Genomic DNA, 21,945 nt, shown 5'->3' with positions numbered 1-21,945 from the left:
AACAAATCAGTCTAGGTTCCAGCTGTAGCCCTGGAGCAAGGACCCGGAGGCCCTTTGCTGTGTCAGGCATTACTGTATTAGCTGCTGGATCTTGTGGAGGTCTAGGGATCTCAGAGTACAGTCTGGCATCCAGGACAAGGTGTAGTAGCTATTTACCAACTGGTATGGGAGCATATAATATTTTGACCACAGCTGTGTATTACTGGTCAATTTGGCCAAAGGTCAGCCTTATGCTTGTTTACTGAATAATGGAATTCTTTACATTATAGATCGATTCAATGAGGTGTGTTTATTGGTATTGCCCTTCCCATATACACATATTTTCAGTAATGCAGCTGTTGAGTAAAGTGAGGTCTACTTCTTGAACCTTAAAAGAAAGTGGGGATTAGAGGTAGACTCATTCTAAAACATTAGTAAGGAAGGCAAGTTTATAGATGACCCAGGAAAAATGCACTAACAGTTTGGCAACTTCACTTTGCCTCAGACTCAGTTAAGAAAGGTAGAAGTGCAAAAGACAAAGCAAGAATCATAGGTAAAATACACAGCCTTCTTAGGGATGGACACCTGCCTGTGAGTGGATTCTTGACAATGCTAATAGGTTATTTGTAAATTAAGCAATTTTTTTTTGTTAGCTGGTTGCTTCCATCCTCTAAACAGCCAAGGCACCTCCTCTGTGCTATGTTCAGGGTAAAGTAGGCAGCCATTTCCACTGTGTGACTGGAGGTGTGTCAAGCAGCACCCCGTTACACACAAGTGCCATCTCCTCCAGCCTAGTACAAGCTTAAAATGTTATCATTAGAAAGGCATTCCTTGCCAATCAAACTGCTCTAATTTGAAGGGTCAAGAATTTAACTCACTGTCAGCCACTACCACTTTAGCTCATTAGCCCCCAGCTGTCACTTTGGAAAGCAGACAACTGAGCCCTCATAGGAAAGATTCTTGTGATGGGAGAAAGCATGGAGTCACGGGGAGCCCTAAATTACCAGGAAAAAAATGGGTCCCAATGATAGGGGTGTAGAGAGACAGAGCTATGAAGTAGGAAGGAGAAGGAACCCAAAGACAAGCTTGGTCCATTTGCCAGGCCTGCTAAGTCCACTTGCACAAGTAATTTGAGGTCACAGTATTCTTTCTCCAGAGAAGTCTCATTAAAGAGACAGTAATATCCATTAAAAATCAGCATCATTTACTCGGGAGGCTGAGGCAGGAGAATGGCGTGAACCTGGGAGGCGGAGCTTGCAGTGAGCCGAGATCGCGCCACTGCACTCCAGCCTGGGCGACAGAGCGAGACTCCGTGTCAAAAAAACAAAAAACAAAAAACAAAACAAAACAAAAAAATCAGCATCATTAGATGCTTTCTTAGATAGTTTAGAACTCAAAACTCGACTAGATGTTTTTATTCTGAAAACACAGCTGCAACTCAGAACAGTATGTTAGGAAGTCAGACCCATCGCAAGTCAAATGGTGTCTACAGCCTCTAATAAGCTGGATAACCTGAATACCAGCTGCTTGTCTTATCCTCAGTCATCTCAGAAAAAGCCTCAACTGCCAATCATTACCTTCTTCCTTCCACCAAAGTCCCACCTCCCAACTTTCTCCCAGGTGCCAGGCATACAAGCTGATGCCATGGGTAGGCCTTTCAGGTTATACACTTTCTTATTTAGCATCTTTGGAACAATGTAAGGTTTCAAAAACTTTTAAGCACACAATTTTTGTCATACTATGTGTTGCTTTAAAAGTTTTCTTCCTCTACAGTTTTCTTAACTCCTGTTTTTTCTTCCCCTCCCCCAAACGATTATATCACAAATGAGCAGTTTGCAATCTGTCGGAAATAATTCAGATGAAGCTCTTTTATCTTGGGGCCCACAAAAGATGGTATCTTGGTACTCTGGGACCTAATTTGTTTTTAGGCTTTTGGCCAGATATCTGTTGAGCTGGCTTACACTTTAACAAGGAGAGAGAGAGGTAACAGTACACATGAAATTGAATGTGGGGTCCCCCAGGATTTATCTGCCTGAGGTCCCCCCTTCATTGGAAATCCTTTCACCACACATACCCTTTGGGGTACAAGTACTCTGTTGCTAAGAGGCAACTGTTTACTTGCCAATATGTGACCCTGCTGGGGACCACAGTAACTCAGGAATTGGTGTATTGGCCCAGATCAGTTATGATAAAATGACAAGGCAGAGAAATGCTGAGGAAACAAGACATGAAATACTGGGGAAGCTCTGAGAAAGGTGAGTTTGTTGGGGAAAGGGGTAACCTGCGGGTGGTAGGAAATGCCTGGTCGGCTGGCATTTCTGTGGGTGTCTCAGGTAATTTGGAGAGGGTATTGAAAGTGGGATAAGGACTTGTCAAGGATAAAGCTGGTCTACTTCCTTCTTTTGCTGATGCTGAGGACAGGGAGTTTGTCTGTCTGTTGCTTCTTTCCTCCACCCTCTTCTCCATTATCAGGGTGTTCCAGGTTCTTACAGAGCTTTTTCCTTGGCTGCCTTACGAGAGGCCTGGCTCTGGGGACTGGCTGGGCTTTCTCAATTCTCCTGACTCATCCTGCAGACTCACTGTCCTCTCCAGTGACCTTCTGAAGGCCCTGAGCTCACAGCCTTGACTTTGCTGGCTCAGGGAGGTCTCTGATGAGGGGGAGTTTGCAGCTGACCTATGCTGCAGTTTTGTTGGCTTTGCAAGATCTGAACACTACCGGGGGGACAGGCACTGCAGAAATGTCCATGGTCCCTGTCAGCACCTTTTGCCCTTTAGCAGCATCACATAGTACTAAAAGGCTATTTGAGGAGTTAGATGTTAGTAATGAAGTGCAGTTGTCCAGTGGATTCTAGGCTGACCAGCTGAGACTAGACCAGACCTTTAAACACTACTTATGTTTTCCTTTGAGATGGCATACTTAGTTTAGTCCGTGTATTTAATAGATTATGACCCTTCATTGTAGTCTCTCCCTACACACATTTCTCGAAGAAAATCAGGGGGAGAAAAACCAACAATGTTTGCTTAATAGAATTCCTTCCCCTACCACTCTTTTTCCTGTTTAGAAACAATATCTGTGCTATTCGTAGAGCCTTCTTTAATTATGACATTCCTTCTCCTCAGTGGTGGTGGTGGTGGAGGCTTGGCATAGGGTTAAATGGAAGGTACAAGAAATTACTAGCCAAGTCTGCACTTCATCCTCTGGTCCTGCTCCTCAACCACTGCCTCTCCCTTCCCTCCATCTCTGAGAAGTGCCAACCTTGTCAATCCCCAAAACCCCACTAGATATGAGAAGAGATGCAAGTTGAAAGGGACACTGTAGCAGTTGCTTGTAGTTTGTCCCACTGACCCAAGAAGCTGAAGACCCAGTTGGGAGCAGTGATAAGAAAGGAAAGGAAAGGTAAGGTTCTATGTAAGCATCGCTGAAACCTCACATCCCTTCCTCCCCACAACACAGCACAAAAAATGCTAAAAGGAGGAAGAAATGTTAAAGTAACATTCCAATTAGTTTGACTGCTGATTGTCATGCAACAGTTAGGAAATTGGTTTTGAAAAATAACGATGGAAAAAATCTCCAACTCTCTTGACAAGTTGCTGAGGTAGGGGAGGCTGGGGACTTGAGGTTCATTTATTTCAGTCTCACCTAAGCTTTTTCATCTTAGAGAAAAATCAACAGGAACCTGAGAAGAGAATGATATGAGCAAATGTATTTATTTGCTTGTTTGATACCAAGTTTTCACTTATTTTCGTGTGCATTAGAGGTTTGCCTTCATCTGTGCTTTTCCTCCTAGAGAGCAGAGGTCAGCTCAGCTTACTGGCTTTAGCTGATATGTAGTACAGCACCGGGCACAAAGCACAAAGCAGCCTGTGACTGGGTTTGTGCTGGTTGCTGGAACCGAGCCCTGGAACTGCAGCCCTGGGTTAGGTCAGCAGTTGGCTTTTCTGGACAGATAAAGATGACATTGGGTGTCCTTGGATTCTCTGATTTAACTTAGCCATAATGCATTTTGCATCAGTTTGGCTTGCCTCTGTGACCAGCTGCGTCCATCTCTCTGCCCCCCAGAAAAAGAGTTCCCATTTTCTGACACACTAGGTATTTTCACTACTATGATATGAGCAACTTGAGGGCAGGACTTGCCTTTTCATCTCTGTGTACCCCAGTGGGTGTTGACTCCTACTTAGCAGAATTGAATGGCTACTTCAGTATTGCGACATAGGGGTTCATTAAAGGAAACTACCCTCAGAAGAGAGTAACTACACTAAAACTGACAGCAACATTTCCTGTCTTCTCCACGCTAATGATGCTGACATCATAGTGCTGTACTGTACTAGGGGAGGAGGGGAAGGAGAGAAGGGGAAAAGGAACGAACAGTTTGTGAACTTCATATTTATAATAGAAGATTTGTGTGTGCTGCCTCATTTAGTTCTCACAGTGGCTCCCTGAGGTAGAGATAATTGTTCTCATTTTATAGATGAGAAAACTAAGTCAGAGAGGTAAAGTGGTTTTGCTAAAGTCCTACAGCTTAGCAAGTGGGAGAGCATATCTACCCACCTATGTTTTCCTATTATACCTTGAGGCGGCAGCAGAATTTGCTGGACAATTTAGTGGGACTTGTTCTGTGCATTGTTCTTGGATCCCAGTTATGTATGGGCAAGAATCTCCCCCTATAAAAAGCCCAAGTTTTTTAGATTGGCGAACTATCAATTGTTGAAATATAGTCACTTGGTAGTTTCCATTTTGGAATTTTTTGTTTAATTTTCAGTCAGCCTTGCCAGTGTAGCTATAACAATTTCCCTCAACTGTCATCTTTGGGGCAACTGCTGATTCTCCTGGTATACCTTAGAGCAGTGTACCTAAGAATGCAGATTCCTGAAGCCCCTCACAGAGTTGGTTTCTTTAGGTCTGAGGTAGGGCTCCTGACTTTGCATTTTGATGCCACTGACACTTAGAGAAACACTGTTGCGTAGCAGCACATTCTCAAAGTGTATGTCAGGTTTTCTTCATAAAAGGGGTATGCTATCAGATAGGTTTTTGTAACTGAGTTAAGAAAAATAAATTGATTTCTTTCCTTCAAGGCCCTCTTGCAGTCCTTAATAGGTTCATGTGCATTATGAATGTTCAAGAGGAGTTTACAGTAGGCAAAATCATCTTGTGGGCCCTTTTAATCCAGGGAGTATTTTGTTTTGTAATAGGGCCTGGTATACAGTAAACACTCAACTAATTGCTATTTATTATGGAGACTACTATTCCCTGCTTTAGACTGATTTCAACTGTGAGAAGGGAAATATAGTTCAATTTCATTATTTAGGGATAAATTTATGTAAGATCAGTCTTATTTAGGGTAAAGTCTGGGTTATGGAATGTTCTTAGATGAACATTGAACTTTATATAGGGAACTTTAAAGGCTAAGAGAGGGTTGCTGAGATCTACATATGGTCGTGTTGCAGATCCTATGTCCTGCTATAATGGATAGATACAAAGGATGTGAACAGACCTTAAATCTGTTTGCCGGTTACTGCTTCTGAAAACCTTAAAAGCTTATGTTAAGTAGGTTGTTAATATTAATTAAATTAAAGGAGACTTTCCTTCCTTGAAAATAAATTCAGCTTATCTGTGTCTGAGCATCCTAAATTCAGAACACAAGGCTTGAGACTTTCATTGCTTTGTGTAGTGATTCTCACACTTTACTGTGCATATAAGTGATCTGGGATACTTATTAAAATGCAGATTCCTAAGTCCTGCTTTCAAGGCTTGGGCTTGGGAACTGCAATTTTTAACAATGATTCCAAGGGATTCCAATGAGAAATGCTGATGGGGTGTTTCTGTTTGGGTAGGCTATTAAAGCTTTCAGGCCACTGAGGCTAGAGGGACTGACTTCTTGTACTCAGAGGGAGATCTAATGGGATGGAAGAGTTAACTCATTGTCTTAGAGAAAGCTGCCCTGCTGCATATGGATAAGTTTGGACGATTTTGCATTTTGTGTCTATTTTTTCCCTTTATTTGGCCTGAAAAGAATTCTGGAGAATCGCTTCAACCTGTTCCCATTCTCTGCTCTAAAAGCTAAAAGTGATCGGAATGCTGTAACCCTGTGTTCCATAGGATAAAAGCTCTGTGTACAGGAAGTTACTCTTGGCACCGACACTGGGATTAGCTTTCATGATTAAAGTTTTAACTCCAAGGAAACAATATGGAAATTATTCTTAAACTAAATTTATTTCCTGCCTTTTGCTGGTTTGATTTTTACTTCATAGTGGAAAGAGTGTGAACTGTAGAATCAAACCTATCTAGATTAACATCCCAGCTCCGCCCTCACTAGTAGCATGACCTTGGGAAAATTTCTTAACTTCTTTGTATCCTTCTTCCCTTCATCTGTACAATATGTTTAAAAGTAACAACCTCATAAGGCTGATGGCAGAATTAAATAAGGCAACTTATGTAAAGCAGTTGGCCCAGTTCCTGGCACATGGTAGATGCTCACTAAACATTAATGCTCTGTCATATGAAACAACCAATGCAATTCTACACCCAGGTCATTTTGTCTGAGCAAAAGATCCTGTAGACCAGCAGTTCTCAACCTTTTTGGCACCAGAGACCGGTTTCATGGAAGATAATTTTTCCATGGACTGTCCATCGGGGGTTGGGGAGGAGTTCAGGATGGAACTATTCCACCTCAGATCATCAGGCATTAGTTAGATTCTCATAAGGAGCACACAACCTAGATCCCTCACATGCACAGTTCACAATAGGGTTTGCATTCCTATGGGAATCTAATGGCACCACTGATCTGACAGGAGGCAGAGCTCAGGCAGTAATGCAAGCTCATGGCTCACCTGCTGTGTGTCCTGGTTCCTAACAGGTCATGAACTGGTACCAGGGGTTGGGGACCCCTGCTGTGGACACCCTCACTTCTCTAGGTCTTGGCGACCTTGTTTGTAAATTGGAGCTAACAATAGTACCTATGTCATAGGTTTGCTGAAGATTTAAGTGACATAATATATGTAAAAGCATTTAGCAAATGCCTAGCATTTGCTATTATTTCTGATATTATTACCCATCATTTTCTCCTTGTCACTGCAAAAACTCCAATACTAATAGAACGACTGATGTTGCTTTGGATGAAAGGCTGTCAAGATGATTTCTTGTTTTTATAAAATGTTATAAGTAATTATTAATTTGTGCCAGAAACCTAAATATAACTCTTGGCACACAACAGCAAACTCTTTGTCATTCACACAATATCACCTAGAGCTCTCGATAGATAAATTGGCATTTTGTTGAACCTATTTAAGCCTGAAGTTGTGACAATGCCATATAGTAAATTTGACCTCTCAGGGTAATATCTTAAAAGCCCAAAAGATGAAGATACTTCTAGAGAAGTAAACATTCTGATCTACAAAATGAGATACCACAATATTACTTTTAAGGGCAGAAAGTTGGGATTTCTGATTTGAAAATAGAAGGCAAGGTGTCAAGAATATTTGAGTTTGCAATCTCAAGGTAAGATTTTTTTTTTAGCATTTTATATAACAATTCTGACAATGTTTACTCACTTGAGAAATAATCTAGGTTGTTTCTTTTCCCAGAGACCTTAGGATCAGTTGCTTTACCTAGAACAAACTTTCATGGTCCTGTCATTCCAAAGATGGTGTCTTTTACTTAACTGTGTGAAGTCTTTCCAGAGCAGTGCTGAATCATCAATGAAAGATAACTTCATACACAATATATTTTTAGTCATGAGTAAATTTTATTTTATTCTAACTCTTAAAAATTGGTAAACCTTATATGACATATTTAGTGGTTTCTAATAACTTGAATACCAAGTCTATTAATTTGAATGCTCTAGTCCATGCTCAATAACGATACTATACGGTACAATAAAAATTAGCCCATCATGTTGACTTTGAGAAGCACTTAGGTAGGGTGGAGTATGTGTGTGTATGAGAGAGAGAGAAATGCAGAGGAAGAGGGAGAAGGAGACGAAGAAAGAGCGAGAGTGGCAGTCATTGTAATATTTTGTATAAATTAACAAGTTTTGAATTTTTGACAGAGATTTTTGGGGACTGTTGACTCAGCCACTGACTCTTACAACTTTGCATAAGTCACTGAATTTCTGTTGTTAGAGGAAGATGATAGTATATCATGGCTAGTTAAGACACTGACATGTTTATGTTCCATGGATCAAGAGAGCTCCTGTGTGCAAGGTCTTTCAAATTCATATATTCTTTGGTGATAAATAAGAAAACAAAACCTCAGCTACTTTTTTATGTGTCTTGCATTGGGAGCAGCTAAAGGACCCTAATCCCCACTCTTGACTAGCTTCCTTAGCAGGGACAGGCATTTTCTATTTTGTACACTAACAATTTACTTTTTCTGACCTTCTCATTACTGACATATATTTATTGTATACCCTTGGGATCAGTAATTGCATTACTGCCTTTTAATTAGGAGAAGGGAAACTTCTTATTTGGTGGATTTGTGGGGATGACTTGTAAGGTATTTATAGCCAGTCTTTTGCCCTGGGGTCTCAGGCAACTCTTGGCAGTATCACGTATAGCACCTAAAATATGGGTGAAGGAAAAGAAGTATCAATAGAAATTGTGTTGTTTTACATTTTTTTGAGTGTCTTTAAGTGATGTTATGTTTCTCAGAGATATACAAGGGTTCACTAAAGCATTACCACCTATTTCTGTGTAACATATGAATTCAGTATTAAGCTGTCAAATATATTATTTTTGACCCTTTGTTGATGACATTGGTGAATTCTGGCTCTCACGGTTGGTCATAATGCCTTCACTTGGCTGAAAAGATTGTTGTTTCATTTTCTAAATATCCAAATTAAATGGAACAAGATGAAGGATTTCTGATCCAAATACATTTTTGAAAGACTAGTATTAATAATAAGCAACAGGATATTCTTCTAGAATGTACCTTACATCTATTTTCAAGAAAGGAACAGTGTAGTATCTAGGTATTTCGAATATGCATAGTCTTAGATAAAGAAGAAAAGCAAGCATGTATTAAACATGTATAAATCAGCAAAGGCCTAGCCTTATGAAGTTCAGACACTTATATCAATTACTGGAACACTAAAGTCGACTGGAATAGCTACAAAACCTTCAACATTAAAAACATGATAACATGTTAAAGTCAAATAACTCACTGACCCTCAGAGCCATAGAATGTTTTATATGAAAGGGACATTGGATATTACCCTGTCTAAACCCTTTATTTTACTGAGGAAGAAACTCATGCCCAGAAAGGAGAAGGAGAACATTTTTGCCTAATGTTACAGGCAAAAAGGGAATTAGATGGAAAATCAGAGGAGAATCAAGAAAGTGAAGTGTCAGCAGAAGCTAAGGCAAGAGATACTTTGAGTGGATAAAACCAGTGTGTCAAATACACCAAAGAGATTGAGGAAGATAAACAATTGAAAAACAGCTCTTGGATTTGGCAAGAAGATCACTGGTGAACTCAAAAGAGAAATGTTGGTAGATTAGTGAGAATAGAAACAGAGTGTAGGAGTTAGGAACAGAATGTGGGATAGGAAATAAAGGCAACTCACACAAATCTCAGATTAGGGGATTTAGGAAGCAAAAGGAGGATGGCAAAAAAAAAAAAAAAGGAGCAGGTTGAAACTTTTTTTTTTTTTAATATGGAGCTTTGAGCATGTTTTTGAAAAGGAAGACAATGCTGGACCCCAAACTTTCATGTTTCTCTGATAGAAAATAATAAATCATGGAGTTGATGAGCCTCTCCAAACCAACAACACCTCCTAGAGAAAAACAAACCAACCAACAAACAAACAAACAAACAAAATCACGGTAAAACCCAACTCCAAGCTTGACAGCATTTAAGCTAATAATAGTGTAGAAGTCGGGGGCTTCAAGGCTATCTAACAGTATGTTCAGAGGCAACCTGTAATCTGTCTGTCATTATTTTTGACAGGCATATGGACTCAGTACCTCCCCCACACAACCTGAAATTTGTACTGAAACCTTACCATCCCATTTGTTAACCTTTTTCTCCCATAATAAGGTTGAAATATACCTTGGGAATATTTTTCAAAAAGCCACCATACATATTTACTCCTGGTTGGAGCTAATTAATTAGGGAAACTACCTTGAAGTCCTATTAACTGGGCTAAATTGAAACAGGTTTGAAAATATGAGCTCCTCTGAAATTATGAGCATGGAGCTAATCTCTTTGTGCTTGCAAATCTTGATCAAAGTTTAGGTGGGCATTTCAGTTGCTTGACAATTGATATCCTGGCTGGTACTAGAATCAGTTGTGTAGTTAGTTGCATAGAAGAGTAAGAGAGTTAAAATTTGTACTGGTGGCTGCAGACATGGTCATCAACATTATTCATATTCACGAGTGTTGCAGAGGCATAACCAAGAACAAACACATCAAAGGCCATCAGACTATGACAACATTGTAGATTTGGGGCTGAAAATGTACTTAAATCAAGCATACTGTCATTATGCCTTTGAATAATTATCTCATTTAATTATCAACAGCCTTATGTAGTAGATATTATTATCCCTGTGTTACAGTTTGGGAAACTTAGATTCAGGGAGGTTGAGACTTGTACAAGCTAATATGGTTAGTTACGTGGCAGAGTTGAGCTATAAACCCAAGTCTGACTTCAGGTTGTTACACATTCTATTAGACTATCACTCTAGGGCCTCCACCCTTGCTGTCTTCCCATTCTATATAATTTTTACCTCTCACTGAAACCTGTTTCACTCTCTTCAAGAATTCCATGTCTTTGGGCACCTTTCCTATTGAAATCTGCTCTCATGATAGGATCTGCTATAGAGTTGCATGCATTGCATTATGAATTTAGACAGTGCCACCTCTTCAAAGGGAATTTATATCATATGTTTTCAGTGGAGAATGAAAGTCCCTCTGTTAAATATGCTCTGGTATCAGTGAGCAGGAGTGAGAGCTATTTGGAAATAGGAGTCAAAGGGTCCAATGACCTGTGACATCCATCCAGGTAAGCAGCACCTGTATATACACAAGCTTTATAAAACAGACATGTCCCACTACTTAGACTAGCTGTGTTTGGAGAAAGGGAGTCCATCTCTGAGGGTAGGTGGGAAAAGATGACCTTTAAGGTCCTTTATATCCCAGAGATTCAATCAGCCTATGATTCGATGACTCAGAGGGGTGAGCAATTATCTAGTGATATCAACTGGGAGAGATCAGGCCAAAAAGAAATCTACTTTCTGACTTCAATGGTTTGAGTTGCCTCCTTGGAAACACCCCAAAACAGCTCAAATCTTTGCTTCATTTGGTCAAATTATCCTCTGAGTTTCCTTGTTTCTGTAGGGAGAATCATCTTTCATTAAAAACTGGTGGTTGGGGGAGGTGGCTAAAATCAGAAATTATTTAATGTTAGAAAGGCCCTCACAGGATCTTTTCATTTTACAAAAGATCTAACTGAAACCCAGAGAAGGCATGGTTTGTTAGAAACAGAGTTGGGGCTGGAACCCAGGACAACTGGCTCCCAGCCCAGGGTTCTGTGTAACCTATCCTGCTGTCTGGTAATATTCTTTTCAAATCTCATATTTTCATTTAGTCCCTGGTAAGGCCAGAAAAATGCAACCACCAAAATGAGGTTTAGCAAGGGAAATGACTGCCTCTCTACTTAGCCCCTTCCGACTAGAGGCTTTTTCTTTTGAATAACTTGATACCCCAGTAAATGTATCCTGGGATGCATATATTTAATTAGAGATAATCATCTTCTATTGTTTGTTTTTCCAGTTGAGCTGGCTTCTGAGCAGCAGGAGGAAGGCTGATCTTCAATAGTGTTTGGTTTGTGTGTTGGCCCTGCCTGTAGGTAGGAATAAGTACTGAGTTTGAAGCCAGGTGACCTGACCTGTTGTGTTCCAGGAGGGAGTCCCTATATACTTGGCTGGTTCAAATGTGGGCTTTGTAGGCCTTACCTCTTTTGGCCTTCTCTTGTCAGAACTGTGAGGTGGCCCTGAGATGACTGACCTAATGACTAGCACCCCAGTTCCCACCTGAAAACCCAGGCTTTTCTCCTGCTTGCCTGCCTGCTGCTTCAGCTTAATTTACCTGGCTCACCTTAATCTTAATGGTGGTGACACATGCAAATAGTACATGCATTTAACAAGGACCAAGCCCCACTGAAGTAGAAACCTGATTTTTACACAGCAGTTTCAGCAAAGAGAATATCCTTTGCCGAATCTGAAAGGAAACAGTAGCTTACTTTCAAGTAGGCTGGATTTCGTGGCCCTTTCAGCACATTATAGAATGGTATAGTGGTTAAAAGAGAAGGCTCTGGGGCCAGGCTGTGTTCTTCTCTGGCTCTGTCACTTACCAGTTATGTGACTGGGCAAGTGACTTAACTTCTTTGTGCCCCAGAATCCTTATCTGTGAAATAGACCTAAGTCACAGAATTTTGATGACTGGAACAATAAATAAATGTAAATCACTTAGAAGGATGCCTGGTATGTAAGAAGCACTATGTTAACTCATTATTCTCAATACTATTCCTAGCAGTATCTACAAAGGAGTCATAGGAAGAAAAAATGAAAGGTGTGGTCTTCTGCAATCAGTTGAAACTGCTGTTCTTTTGGTTCATAGATTTTTTTTTTTTTTTGCAAATTATAATACTGAGGTGATTTTCCTCCACCATGTCTGTTAACATCACCGTGGTCCCTTCGTCTCTAAATTGAAGTTAAAATTTTGTCTTGCATAGTCAATCTTGCAGACACATACATTTTCCCCAAAGAGGGGAGCAGTCCTGTTGCAGCAACAGAAATGAATACTGTGCTGAGTACATAGAAAGTGAAGGGCCCTTGTAAATAAAGTAGCAAATTAGCAGTGATTTTGCCACCAGTTTTAAAACAAATGGATTGAAAGAGATTTCAATAACTACATGCCTAACTTAGAGCTGCACTTGAAGCATTTAGTAAATGTGTCATTTCAGTATTGAGAACAGAATCCAATCAAAGTATGTTTATAATTAGACATCACATATAATATCTCTCAAAATTATGTTCCACCAGGTGAGATGCCATTCCCTGGAACACTAAAATCCACTGTTTGTTAGGTCTTTGTTATTATTAAAAAGAACAGGTTGGGGGTACCAAGAGAGACTCAGATAAATGAAAGTGCTTAATTTTAATTAGAGAGGAAAAAAAAGCCACACACAATATGGGTAGCCTGTATGGAGAACCTCGTGCCAGTAAAACCTGCCTCCAAAGGTATGACTCTGTATTAATTTAAATCAGACAGACATTGGCACTGCGTTCTTTTATTTTTCATTAACATTTTGATTTAGAACAGCAGATTGCTGCAGTGAGGGGACAAGAACGGCAGCCAGTGAGCCATCTGCCGAGCATCTCGCTGACGACTCTACTAGCGAAAGAAGCCGGTGACTATGGAATATATGCAAGAGGGACACACACCATTAGCTAAGTGACAGGATAAAAGATGGGAAACTTTGCCGGGTCAGAGGAGACAGAGATGGAGAAGGCAAAGCACGGCCCATTCTGATTGGAATTTGAAAAGATCCAAGTACTTGCAGCAGGCCAATAGGATGGCATTCTATGGAGGATTTGCTTGTAGTGTTATTTTTTTTCCTTTGAAATTACAGGTGGAACAAGGAAAGAGAAGTGACAGGCTAAACACACAATAATTTGCCATGCTTCTTACATGAGTTATGTTTTCCAGATCAGTAAACATTTACCCCTTTAGACATACCAAATCTTGAGCCATTTGAGATAGTGGATATCTTTCTAAAGTGGAAACCCTCCCCCACGACCATCTTTTTAAACACAGTAAAGCACTGGCATACCAACGCAGGAGCAGTAGGAGTGGTCTGTCTGGGGTGCAAACAATAAGAGGGTAGTGTGTAGAGAATTTAAAGACAGTAATAAACTGTCTACTTGCTTTTTTATTATCATATGCACAGGCATTTCTAAATATCAGTGAAAAAATACTCCTCCCAGCTGGGATGGACCTCATATATCACCCCTTCCCCACAGTATACCAGTGCAGAAGAATGAACAGAATTCAATTTTCTATGGATGATTCAGGGTCTTTACTGGCAACTCCAGCTCCGGTACTGAGTTCGTTGTCCATGCGGTTACTTGGCCTCTTAGGTCTATTTGCCCCTACCTGAATTAATCCCAGACTGTTGTGCTTTTGTAGTTGGTGATTCTGCATGGTGTTCACTTATTGTCAGCTGTCACATTTTAGTATATCTACTTTTAGGAGTGCTTCATTTCTAATATGCTGTCTATCTTCAGTAGCCTAGGAAGTACTGAACATTGTCAGCTACAGTGGGAAAAGAGATAGAAGGCTATGGAAATAGACAGAAAATTAAAAGCACAGTAATCTGTATCTTCTGCATAATAAGGTGTGGAGGTGTTTGATGCATTGTAGAAAGTTTTTTCTTCAAAAATGATTAAAATAAAAATAGCACTTGCACTGCTGAAAGACATGTGCTTCAAATATCTGGAAAATTAGCTTAGAACCACTCATTCCCTTATAATGCTAGTTGAATGGAGACGGCATATTGCATGGAAGGAGCATAAGATTAGACTAAGGTTTGAGTCTCACCCCAGCCACTTACTGGGAAAAACACTTTAACTCCTTCGAGCCTGTTTCTTTAAACTGTAAAGTGGATATAGTAATGCTATCAGCCTGACCTACCTTATTATGTATTAGATTTTCTACCCGATGCTCCCAGTAAAGTGCCGCCAACCACTGCAAGTCACCATCTCTCTCACCCTCCCTTACACTGGACCTGGTACACACCTTTAGGGATCATCTCCATCTCTTGACTTCCTTACCTGATCCACTAAACTCTTAAGCCATTTTATGTTCATGCATGTTTCCAATTAATTACTGAGGTTTTTCCACCAAAGACTGAGGGCTTCTTACTCAGAAAAGCCTAAGAAGAGAAATTATCTTTAGGCAACCTGTGTAAGATGAGCTATGGGATTTCCAGGTCAAAGCTGACATTCATAATAATAATCAACTGGAAGTGCATTAAGAAAAGTTAATTCTTTATCATATCTATTTCCATTTTCCCCTCAACTCCCAAAAATACACCCACACAACTGAACACAGGATTTGAGGAATAAATTAATGTTCCTTTATTAACCTCTCTTGATATTTCATCAACTTTGATCCTGTCCCATCTCAGCTTCATCTTTTTATTTTATCTCCAGAGGGTAGTTTCTTCTGTCTCTAAAATGGGTTTGGGTTCAACCTGCAACTTTACAGCTTCACACACCCAGGCTGAACTTCTTTCTTTCTTCTCCCTCCATGATGCTCACTCAGTTGAGAACTCAAGAAGGGAGGAGGTAGTGCTGACTTGTGATCTTGTTCTCATCTTACAGTTCACCTGTAACGCCTTGAACAGGAAAGGTAAAATATTGTTCAGCACTATGAATGGATGAGCCACATCATGGGGTCACCTTTTGGAACTTCCCTTTCTGTCAGCCTCCCTGCAGGATGCCCACAGGCTGCACTGGTTCCATGAGGTGGTCAAAGTAGCACTCATCTAAGTAGTGTGATCTGCGGGGTTACTGCAAAATTAAATGCCACCCACCAGAATTAGTTCTCTCATTGGCTTGTGCAGTTTCCAGAATGCCCCTGATAAATTGCAAATACGCCATTATAGTTATCAAAACATGGGGGCCCTGAGACTCCAAATAATTTGCCACAACTTAAAAGTTGAGCCTTGATTATTAGCTCAATATTTATTGATTTATTGGTTTTAATTTTTAACTCAACATCTATTTAGTGGAGAACAGGAAAAGACGCCCACTAGTGGCAGCATTTACTTTATGGCAGGCATTATGCTAAGGATTTGATATGAATTCTGTCATTTAATCCTGACAATCACCCTAGAGGGATGACAGTATTATCACTGTAATTCTATAGATGAGATAAGTTCTATAGATGAGCACAGAAATGGCAGAACCAGAATTCTAACCCGGGCTAGCTCTAGCTTTAAAGCCCATACAATGCTGTCTCTAATATTGGAGCCCAAACTTTCTCCAACCTTGCTATCGCACTGAACAAAACAAACCCCTGTATCTAACCAGTTCTACCTCTTTACCAGGCAATTGGGAGCTTGATGAGTGGGGGAATAGGCCATGAGATATAAATTTCAGAGCATGGACGTCTGCTGTGGAGGCCAGACTTGAAGGAGTCAAGTCTTGGTAGAATCAGGGGCATCTTTCAAACATCTTGAAGACTCTGAGCTCCTGAGCAAGGGAGGGCAAGGAAAGATGCAGGATCTCCCCCGCTCCAAACCCTTCAAGGGAACCTCGTGATATCATTTGAATTAAACCTAGTTGAAGCTAGAAAGGACCTTGGAAATCACCTACTCTAATTCCCTTATTTTACAAATGGGAAAAGGTGAGGCCTAAAGAGGGGGCAGTCTCATAGCTAGTTAGTAGCAGCAGTGCAAAGGGAGGATACTAGGGTTTTTTTCTTCCATAACGCATTGCTTCCCTTACATGTATTGAAGAATTTAACTCTGAGCAAACCAGAGATTTTAGCATCTCAGTTTGAGCCAAGCAGCCCTAAATACCACATCTTTATTTTTTCCTAGCTTAATTGGAGAACACAATCACAGTTCTGAGACCATGTATATCTTCAGGACTCATTCACTGAGGCTGTCAGAGGATCCGCTTGTCCTCACTAATTTTGAGCTCAGAGATTTAACATGTCCCCAAACAGCCTCGTTTCCTTTAATAACCTATCATTGCCTTAACAGTCATAAATGTATTGAACCTTATCTGACAGTATTTATATTTTCAGCTGGCACCAACTCTGGGCTAAGGGGTTCCATATGTTTACTTCCCACTGTGTAAAGTAGGCTTGACTTTGACTTGCCTGGAATTTGTTCCTTTCAAGCTTCCAGAGTGGGGAGATCTTCTTTGCGGCATAACAGGAATTGGTGAACAAGATTCTTTCCCCTTTCCTTCCACCTTGCTGATTTCAAACTATGGGCACTTACCCCAGATACAATAGGCCCAGTTTTGGCGGGCCCCACCTGGTGAACATTTTAGGTGCAGCAGCCCATGATCTTTGCAGCACGGCAGAGCTGTCCAATTGTTTTCCCTGATGCTTCCTGGCCAAGGCAGGTAGTCCCTTTCAGCAGGACCTGTGGGGGTGACAAGGTGAGGGGAAGCTGCTTCTGGCCATAGGTCTCCTTCAGCGGAAGGGTGGAAAGGGGGCACTTCAAGATTGAGGAAAGAGGGTGAACCTTGATGTACACTGTCCAGGCCACAGTGGCAGCTGGGGAAGGCAGCCAACATTCTGAGGAGCTAAGACTAGTGAGACCACATTTGAGTTTATTGTATTAACACACTTCACACTACATTTCTTAATGGTCTGCCTTGTTGGAAGGCATTTTTAGTCACCTTTGGAGCTCGCTATTGAAAAACTCCTTTCTTGTTTCTTTTGAAAATAACCTTCTGTGCTGTTGAAGTTGAAAAGGTTGTCAGATGGAAATGTTTATGTGCTCTCATCTCAGCTAAAAAAATGTAAAGATGAAAGTATCCAACACATATATTTACTGAGTACCTGACGGGATATAATTCAGGAAATGCGACGATATCTGAGCTGCCATCAGTGATGCAGCCCTTGCCTGACGTGGGCTGTATGCATGCCAGCATAAAATGAATAGTCCTCTGACTGTAATCAATTTACATGAATCAAACAATTGGCAATTGTATTTTTAAGCAACTGATAATTTCATCTACTATACCGAGTTTTCCAAAAACACATAACTAAGGACTGACTGCAAAGTAAATATTAACAATCAAAGAAAGACCATGTGCTACAGTGGTCATTGCCGGGGATGACAGCAATCCCTTGGGAATCTGGCCAAGTCTGAGGTCATTCGCCCTGACTGAATCCTCCCCCGACCCATCACTTTCCTGCGCCTTTACTTTTCTCACCTGGAATAAAGTTGGTAAAAATATAATAAAGCTATGTTATATGTGGCTTATCCTTGTGATAAAACCCCAAATAATCAGTTACTACCAACATGGATGCCACAAATAACTGTATTTTTTTCTTTACTACTTTTTTTTTTTTGATGAAGGTCAACAAACAAGGATCTGCAGTGATTGCTTTAGGAATGTGTTTGGGAAATCAAGAGACATGAATTCTAGTTTCATTTCTGTGACTGGCTTTGTGACTTTGAGCTCTCTCCTCTTTGAATCTTTTTTCTTAAATATAACATTAAGATGACGGACTAGATGATCTCTAAGGTCCCTTCTGTCTATAACAGTCTATATTTCCAATACAAGGAATTTTATTTTAAAAATATCTTCCCAGGCTCACTGTATTCAGCCTAGTCTCCTGCACCCTCTGCATCTCCAGTCCTACCATACGACAATCATGTTACATCTACCTTTATATACTTAGCAATTATACTTAACTTCATAGTTTTCAAAGGACTTTCACATTTATTCTCTCATTTAATCTTCATAACATCCCTATAAGCTATACAGCTCAAGTATTGCTATCTCCATTTTGTAGATGAAGAAACTGAGACATGGACTACTAAAATAACTCATGCAAGGACATAGGGCTAGATAATAGCAGAGATGGAACAAGAACTCAAGTTTTTTGACTCCAAATCTGTACTCTATTTCCCTTTGGCAAATGTAATAATAATGGCAACTAATCTTTGTTGAGTATTCACTTTCCACATATTTTATCTTTCAATTTTTACCACAGTGGATACTAATATTTCCCCCATTTGTCAGAAAGAAAAACTGAGATTTAGAGGGGTTAAGCTCCTCACCCAAGGCTATACAACAAGAAAGAGATAGATCCAGGATTTGAACTCAGAGAGTCTGGCTTCTGATCATAACCACCATTGCTATACTGCCTGTTGAGTTATATAACATGTGCTTTAAAGAGGATGGAAAGTCATGTTCTCAATTTGGTTGCCCTACCCGGTGGAGGAATAATGATCATCCCAAAAAAGACCAGAAAAACTAAAAGTCAGCAAGTATTTATTACATATTTACTGTGTGTTCAGATCTGTGATAGAATGTAGGCATTAGAGGAAGTTGAGGTATAATAGTAAGCCTTAGTGAATTGGGAATCCACCTCAATGCATAAAGTTGTATAATGGTTGCGTGTGTGTGTGTGTGTGTGTGTGTGTGTGTGTGTATGTATGTGTGTGTGTGTATATGTATATATATGGGCTCATATATAATGACTTATATGTATATATATAAAATATATAAATATATGTACATAAGGTAATGGTTTTATATGTACATATGTGTCATAAAATAACTGTGATACAGTAACACAAATATTAAAAATCAAAATTTTAAAGAACATTTAAAGAGTCTGGACAAATGCTTCCAATATAATATAAAGTAAAAAGGCAGGATACAAATCTGAACACATGTTAAAACTTAATTTTGGGTGATTTTTAATTTACCTGGGTAATTTTTCTTCTCTATATTTTTGAAGTTTTTTGTTTGTTGACAATGAGCAGAAATTAATTTTACATTTTAAATTCTATAATAATACAAGTGTTTTCCACATTAAAAAAATCAGGTAGGGGTAATATGACTTACTAGAGAATAAGAGAATTAGACGATTCTCTTATTAGACAATTAGAGAAAAAGAGATAACAGAAGGTAGTAAAGTAATAAATCTGTGGTGTTACTTTAGTACAGTTTTCTGCTGATAAGGCTGCAAAACATGGTGGAAAAGACCCCGCTCTGATAATCTGTTAGTCTAGATGCTCAACTTACTTCTGCTACTAGGGAGCTGCATCACCTTTGGCAAATCTCTTTTCCTTTCTTGTTCTTATTTTCCTCATCCACAAAATGAGGTAATTAGATTAAAACTACTTGATCCAGCTCCAACGGTCTATGATCTGTAATAGGACTTCAAGACTTTGTTTTGCTCATTTTTGACTATAGATCAGAGGGTGGTAAACTATGACAGGTTAACATTGGAGGCACTAAATGGTAGATACGATTAATTGTGGCGCCTGAAACTCATGTTTTACTGTATTTCTAATTAACTTGCTGTGGATTTATTCTTCCTCTCTGCCACCTACTTAAAACTGACAGTGTTGTCATTTTTATGTATGTCATTGTGCAGCAGTGAAAGCCAAGAGAATAAGGATTATGTTGGGAAGACATCTTAGAGAAGTGCCAAAAGTTGGAAAACCTGCATTACAACCTCAGCTCAGTTATCAATTAGCTGTGTGACCTTGGGCTAGTCACTGAGCATCTCTGTTCCTCCTCTTCAGTTTCTTCATCTGAAAAAAAGATCAGTGATTCCACATGAAAATATAGGAATAGGCTTGAATAGGAAATGAGAAGAGGAGATGATACTCATGGATTATGGGTACACTGGGATAGGAAGTGGCTAAAAATTGCCTTTGGTCATAACCCAGGTTTCGGCCTGCTGGATACACCATGCTGTTAGATACAGAATACAGAAGAAGAGAGGGGAGCAAAAAAAAAAAAAAAAAAAAATTTAAAAGACTAAAAAGTCTGGTGGTCCTTAGCAGGATCCTTTCTCATGAATCTATGCTTATGGAATCAGCTAGTTAACCTTTGTTCTGGAGAGAATAGAGAGAGACTAAAATGCTGGAAAATCACATTAGCAAAATTTCTCTTTTAATCTTTTCCATATCTCCTTCCTTTGCTATTTTCAATCTGACTTAGGCAAGCAACATCAAAAGAAAAAAATCCATCCACTCAAACGAATACGTTCTTAACTTCCACTCACGCATCAGCCTTAATTAAAAAACTCAGAAAACTCATGGCTGGGAGAGCCCAGTTGGAACTACATTTTTCCTAGTCTGAGTGCAGGATCAGGATCCAGGATCTGGGATCCACTCTTCCATGCTCCCACTTTAAACACATTAAAATAGAGGTCACATTTGAAGAAAGATTATTCTTTCCTTTGAGCCAGCAAGTGCTAAGGTTATCATATTACTATCCATGCTGCTTTACCCAAATCATGTCCAGTTTAGAGAAAAAAAATATCAGAAGGGATCATGTCCTTCTGGACAATTCCACTTAATGGTGGCATGATTAGGCTTAGTGGTATGTGTGCCCTGGCTTTTTTGAGGTATCAAGCAAATTCTTTCTTTCCCCACTTTTTTTTTGTCCCCAAGCAAACCTCTTATGCCCAAGGCAGCATTGTGGGTATTCAAAGGTGATCTCATCCAGCTTCTTTTCAGCTACAAATTCACAGGGCATACAGGTTAGTTTGAAGGGCTTTGGGGATAGTTAAGAATATCTTCCACAGTTTGGTTCTGACTAATTCTATTCCTTACCAACCACTTCGCTACTCTGTGTTAATATATTGAACACATATGTTAGACATTATGGTCAATATTTTACGTGGATGATCCCAATCTTCACAACAACTTTATAAGATAGTTACTATTATATTTATTCTCATTGAACAGATGATGGAACTGAGGCTCACAGAGGTTCTGTAATTTGCTCACGGTCATATGGCTAGTAAGAGAGCCAAGATTAGAATGCATTTAGTAGCTCTTGCACAAAGTATACTGAATGCTGTAAGAGACTGTAATATATTAGTGGAAGAATTGCCTAGACTCAGAGATGTTCCAGAGGTGCATCTCTGTTGAGCTTTCATCATATGAATGGCAAGTGACTAAAAGGATTATCAACTGCTAAGTGGTCACTAGGAAGTAGAAAAGAACAAAGAAATAGGTATGTGCCATTTGTGTGCCAGGGCAGTGCCTGCTCCAGAGGAGAATGAACAGTATGGAGGGCCTCTCTCGGGCTCTTGACTCCAGGGCCCACGAAGAAAGCTCACTGATGGCCCTGGCACTGCTCTAAGTGTTTACATGCATTTGTGAATTATTTTATTTAAAACTCTCAACAATCCTATGAGGTAAGAACTATTACTATCACCACTTTATAACTGGGGAATCTGCGGCA

The 21,945-nt window shown here is 39.8% G+C and overlaps 1 protein-coding gene across 3 annotated transcripts in view, besides 1 other annotated feature; it reads right to left on the bottom strand.

Moving 5' to 3' along the window:
• GRIA3 (glutamate ionotropic receptor AMPA type subunit 3) overlaps positions 1–21,945 on the bottom strand; it is a 306,638-nt gene that overhangs the window by 271,142 nt on the left and 13,551 nt on the right. Inside the window, exons 3-4 of one of the 3 annotated variants that reach the window (NM_001256743.2) lie at positions 16,992–17,138; positions 15,091–15,374 (exon numbers count right to left, since the gene is read on the bottom strand). The exons of the other annotated variants lie outside the window; for them this stretch is intronic. Of the exons in view, the coding sequence (NP_001243672.1) occupies positions 15,355–15,374; positions 16,992–17,138 (167 nt within the window). The 3' untranslated portion in view covers positions 15,091–15,354. Of the gene's footprint in view, positions 1–15,090; positions 15,375–16,991; positions 17,139–21,945 lie in introns of those variants that run through there. 3 annotated transcript variants of the gene reach the window in all.
• Positions 2,342–2,636: an enhancer, noted in NCBI's record as "tiled region #4549; K562 Activating DNase matched - State 5:Enh, and HepG2 Activating non-DNase unmatched - State 24:Quies". NCBI's record gives its function as "activates a minimal TATA promoter and a strong SV40 promoter by Sharpr-MPRA in K562 cells, with weaker activation in HepG2 cells {active_cell/tissue: HepG2 | K562}" and the evidence as "EXISTENCE:reporter gene assay evidence [ECO:0000049][PMID:27701403]".

This window comes from Homo sapiens, chromosome X (genome assembly GCF_000001405.40).
Source record: "Homo sapiens chromosome X, GRCh38.p14 Primary Assembly".
Taxonomy (NCBI): Eukaryota; Metazoa; Chordata; class Mammalia; order Primates; family Hominidae; genus Homo; species Homo sapiens.
Note: the sequence above shows the minus strand (reverse complement) of the source record. Positions and strands in the feature narration are given on the sequence as shown.